This window comes from Homo sapiens, chromosome 2 (genome assembly GCF_000001405.40).
Source record: "Homo sapiens chromosome 2, GRCh38.p14 Primary Assembly".
Classification (NCBI taxonomy): domain Eukaryota; kingdom Metazoa; phylum Chordata; class Mammalia; order Primates; family Hominidae; genus Homo; species Homo sapiens.
Genome location: NC_000002.12, coordinates 1,777,358 through 1,782,027, shown reverse-complemented (window position 1 = coordinate 1,782,027; position 4,670 = coordinate 1,777,358). Strand labels below are relative to the sequence as shown.

General features: G+C 51.7%; 2 annotated features.

Annotated features, from left to right (window-relative positions):
- Positions 1-501: an enhancer, noted in NCBI's record as "H3K4me1 hESC enhancer chr2:1785299-1785799 (GRCh37/hg19 assembly coordinates)". NCBI's record gives its function as "activates a minimal SCP1, AML or CMV promoter by ChIP-STARR-seq in primed H9 embryonic stem cells {active_cell/tissue: H9 hESC(primed)}" and the evidence as "EXISTENCE:reporter gene assay evidence [ECO:0000049][PMID:30033119]".
- Positions 502-1,002: an enhancer, noted in NCBI's record as "H3K4me1 hESC enhancer chr2:1784798-1785298 (GRCh37/hg19 assembly coordinates)". NCBI's record gives its function as "activates a minimal SCP1, AML or CMV promoter by ChIP-STARR-seq in primed H9 embryonic stem cells {active_cell/tissue: H9 hESC(primed)}" and the evidence as "EXISTENCE:reporter gene assay evidence [ECO:0000049][PMID:30033119]".

The window sequence follows — 4,670 nt, the reverse complement described above, 5'->3', positions numbered from 1 at the left end:
ACCGGCCTAGGGGCATAGGAATTCCAGTTTCTACGACTGCTTTAGGGGAGGCTGAGGAGTGAGAGAGGAGAATGAGAGACCACAGCCTAGCGTCAGAGCCTTTCAGCATCCTGCAACTCAAAGAACACCACAGCCAAGGCGTGTACCTTGGGGTATCATGCTCTGAGCCCCAACATCTGCAAAGGTAGGTGTCATTATCTCCTTAGTGCACCACAGGAAACCAGCTGAGAAAGCCAAATGCTTTGTCCCAAGTCACCGGGCAGGTGTGTGGCAGTGCAGAGAGCCCAGTCTGAGCCCCCTGCACCCTGAGAGCTGCCCCCAGATGAAGAGCCCAGGGGAGCATCTGAGCTCCCTCCAATGCACCACTTCCTTCCGTGAGACATCGGCCCATGCGCGTGAAGGGGACAGGAGGCAGGCGGTCCTGTGGGTGACTCATGGGAAGAACAGCACTGTGACCGCAGCAAGCTTGCAGCTCTCAAAAAAATAAAGAACAAAGGAAAGAAAATTAAAAGTTAGGGCTGAAGGGGGAGCTGGAACTAACATCAGAGGCTTTAAGTGTCTGCCACTGGGCTAGAAGGTGAGGTGGCCCCTCCCTGTGTGACATGGAGCCCAGGACAGGCTCTCCCTGTGTGGGAACTCGTGCAGAGCCTGCGGTCCCCATTCACGGCCCCGCAGGAGCTCACCAGGAGAGACTGCAGCAGCTCATCAGAGTCTGCGCTCTCCTCCTGGGGCAGGTGGGGCTCCAGTTCCCGCACCCCTTCTCCTCAGGTGGAGCCTAAATAGAGCAGTCAGATATCAATCAGGTAACGGCAAACTGGTTTCTAGCTAATGGAACGTTAAGTGGGCAGGACTGCAGTGGAGGGGAGAAAAAAATAAAATCCTTTTCCTCTACCCATCACAGTTTCCACAGCTGCGGCCTTGTAAACTAGACTTGCAAGAAACAGGTTAACATGAGAAAAACAGAAGTTTATTCACACGTGCCTCTCACAGGTACCTACAGCAGCACCCAGTGTTGAGAGTGCCGGGGTGGGTAGGACTAGTGCTTATCCATCATCTCAGACCCAAACAAAGGAAAGGAGTTTTGAGCTTCTGGGTGCAGTTGGCAAATTACAGGAAAGTGAGCAGGGAAAGCAGGTAGGCCAGCCTCTGCTGGTCAGCCTCTGCTGGTGAGCCTCTGCTGGTGAGCCTCTGCTGGTGAGGCTGTGCTGGTGAGGCTCTGCTGGTGAGTCTCTGCTGGTGAGTCTCTGTTGGTGAGGCTCTGCTGGTGAGTCTCTGCTGGTGAGGCTCTGCTGGTGAGTCTCTGCTGGTGAGTCTCTGCTGGTGAGGCTCTGCTGGTGAGTCTCTGCTGGTGATGCTCTGCTGGTGAGTCTCTGCTGGTGAGTCTCTGCTGGTGAGGCTCTGCTGGTGAGTCTCTGCTGGTGATGCTCTGCTGGTGAGGCTCTGCTGGTGAGTCTCTGTTGGTGAGGCTCTGCTGGTGAGGCTCTGCTGGTGAGGCTCTGCTGGTGAGTCTCTGCTGGTGAGTCTCTGCTGGTGAGGCTCTGCTGGTGAGTCTCTGCTGGTGATGCTCTGCTGGTGAGGCTCTGCTGGTGAGTCTCTGTTGGTGAGGCTCTGCTGGTGAGTCTCTGCTGGTGAGGCTCTGCTGGTGAGGCTCTGCTGGTGGTGCTCTGCTGTTGATGCTCTGCTGGTGAGTCTCTGCTGGTGAGGCTCTGCTGGTGAGGCTCTGCTGGTGAGCCTCTGCTGGTGATGCTCTGCTAGTGGTGCTCTGCTGGTGAGGCTCTGCTGGTGAGCCTCTGCTGGTGATGCTCTGCTAGTGGTGCTCTGCTGGTGAGGCTCTGCTGGTGAGTCTCTGTTGGTGAGGCTCTGCTGGTGAGTCTCTGCTGGTGATGCTCTGCTGGTGAGGCTCTGCTGGTGAGTCTCTGCTAGTGATGCTCTGCTGGTGAGTCTCTGTTGGTGAGGCTCTGCTGGTGAGTCTCTGCTGGTGGTGCTCTGCTGGTGAGGCTCTGCTGGTGAGTCTCTGCTGGTGAGTCTCTGCTGGTGAGGCTCTGCTGGTGATGCTCTGCTGGTGAGGCTCTGCTGGTGATGCTCTGCTGGTGAGGCTCTGCTGGTGATGCTCTGCTGCTGAGGCTCTGCTGGTGAGGCTCTGCTGGAGAGTCTCTGCTGGTGATGCTCTGCTGGTGAGTCTCTGCTGGTGATGCTCTGCTGGTGAGTGTCTGCTGGTGATGATCTGCTGGGGATGCTCTGCTGGTGAGTCTCTGCTGGTGAGTCTCTGCTGGTGAGGCTCTGCTGGTGAGTCTCTGCTGGTGAGGCTCTGCTGGTGAGGCTCTGCTGGTGAGGCTCTGCTGGTGATGCTGTGCTGGTGATGCTCTGCTGGTGAGGCTGTGCTGGTGAGGCTGTGCTGGTGAGGCTCTGCTGGTGAGGCTCTGCTGGTGATGCTGTGCTGGTGATGCTCTGCTGGTGAGGCTGTGCTGGTGAGGCTCTGCTGGTGAGGCTCTGCTGGTGATGCTGTGCTGGTGAGGCTCTGCTGGTGAGGCTCTGCTGGTGAGGCTGGCCTGCTGATTCAAACCTGGCTTACTCCCCAGTAGGAATTGCTGAGACTTCTGCTCTTCCTAGTGCAGAAGAGGGAGACATCTTTGACAAATGTAAATTTCCTTCCCAAAAGGAAAACTTGTTCCTGTTTTTAGAGCTTTTTCTGAATCTACTGTGAGGAAAGAAAGTAACTTTTATCTAAGGAATGTGAACCCTTTCAAATTCTTAGGCCCAGAGAGGCTCAAATGAGACAGCAATCAGGACCCAGCACTGCCCTGAGCTGTGTGTCCACCTCTTGAAACCGCTCTCTGTTGCCACAGTAGCCTCCTTACGCCCCAGCAGACACTGTAACCCCTGCCTATAGCTTACCAATGTATCCGCAATCGCTAATCAATGCTATTGCTGCAAACCAATGAGAATTGCTGCAAACCACTTTCCACCAGCCCTTTTCTGTCCCCCTGCTTTTGCTTTTAAAAACCTGCCTATACCATTTAGCATTAGGTATATCTCCTAATGCTATCCCTCCCCACTCCCCCCACCCCACCAACATGTTGTAACAAACCTGCACGTTGTGCACATGTACCCTAAAACTTAAAATATAATAATAACAAAATATAATAATAATAAAATTAAAAAAAAAAAAACCTCCCTATACCAAAGGTGAATGGATCTCCTGGCCAAACCCAGCCAGGTTTGCCTGGGGCTCAGTCCTGAGCATCCCGCCAGGGTTGCCTGGGGCTGAGTACTGAGTGTCTGACCAGGGTTGCCTGGGGCTGAGTCTTCTAGGCTGCTGTCCTTGCTTTGGCTCAGATCAACTCTTTAAATCACATTTTGTGCTTCTGCCTTTTCCTTCCTTTTAGGTCGACAGCTCGTTCACAATGTCCTTTAGCTCAAAATGATCTAGCAAAAGTAGAATACAGAAGTGGCTAAATCTCATGTGCCCCCTTGTTTGTCTTGTGTGTAGAAGGATCTTGACTCCCTGGGTTCCCATTAGGGCAAGTTTAAAATTGGAGCCAATATGCAAATGTCTGTGAAGCTGAAAGAAAGGTCGTTAAAGGACCAGAGACCTCAAAGATGAATTCCCTCCTGCTCATCACAAGAGCGTTCCCTCTGCTGCCACCCTGCCCGTCTTGGTGACATCTGCAACTTCTAACTCTCTTGTGTATGTGGGTCTGACCCTCCCAATTCTAGATGCTCGGAATCTGAGAGCAGATGCCTTAGGAGAATTATACAGAGACAGCAGAGTTTTCACTTTAGAAAAGGCACTCGATATTTGTTAAAAGAGTAAACTTTGGAAAGCTGAAATGACAGTTAAATGCATTGTTAAAAGGAAAACCTTAGCCAAATTAAATTTAACAGAGTTTAATTGAGCAATGGATGATTGGTGAGTCGGGCAGCCTCTTGAGCTAGAGAAGGCTCAGAGACTCCAGCACTCAGCCATGAAGTGGAAGATTTAGGGACACCAAAAGGAAAGTGACAGACAGAAAATGGAGATAACAGCCGGACTGGTTGTGGCTCGGCATTTGCCTTATTTGAACAAGGTTTGAGCAGCTGGCCTCCTCTGATGAGCCAAAACTTGGTGACTGGCATAAGAGTAGGTTACAGCGTACAGAGAAAGGAAGCTCTAGGCTGAACTTAATTTAACAGGAACTCGCAGTCATTTTATCCTCCAAAGTGCTAGATTTTAGTCTCTCAGGAGTGACAGAACACATTGATAACTGGAAGCAAAGCAGATGGAAAACGGTCTACGGAAGAGGTGTTGTCAAGCAAAAGTACCAGAACTTGCCACCCCAAAATAGGCCCATTTGGCATAAAGATGATTTTGAGCTGAAGGACATTGAGAATGAGCAGATGCAGGGAAAACTCTAAAAACAGGGCAAAAGCTTTCCTTTTGTGAGGACAAGTCACCTTTGTAAAAGGTGTCTCTGTCTCCTGTACGAGGACTCTTAAAGTTAGGTCATTCAAGAACCAGAGACCTCAAAGGTGAATTCCCTCCTGTTCTTCACAAGACAGTTTCTGCTCTTGTCAATGGAGAAGGCCAGGCCTCTGTCTGCACAGCAGCCCCGCCCAACAGCTCTCGTTCACACACAGCACTTCTTCTGATCACCTCCTCATAACTTGCCTCCTCCACCCAGAAGCCCTCA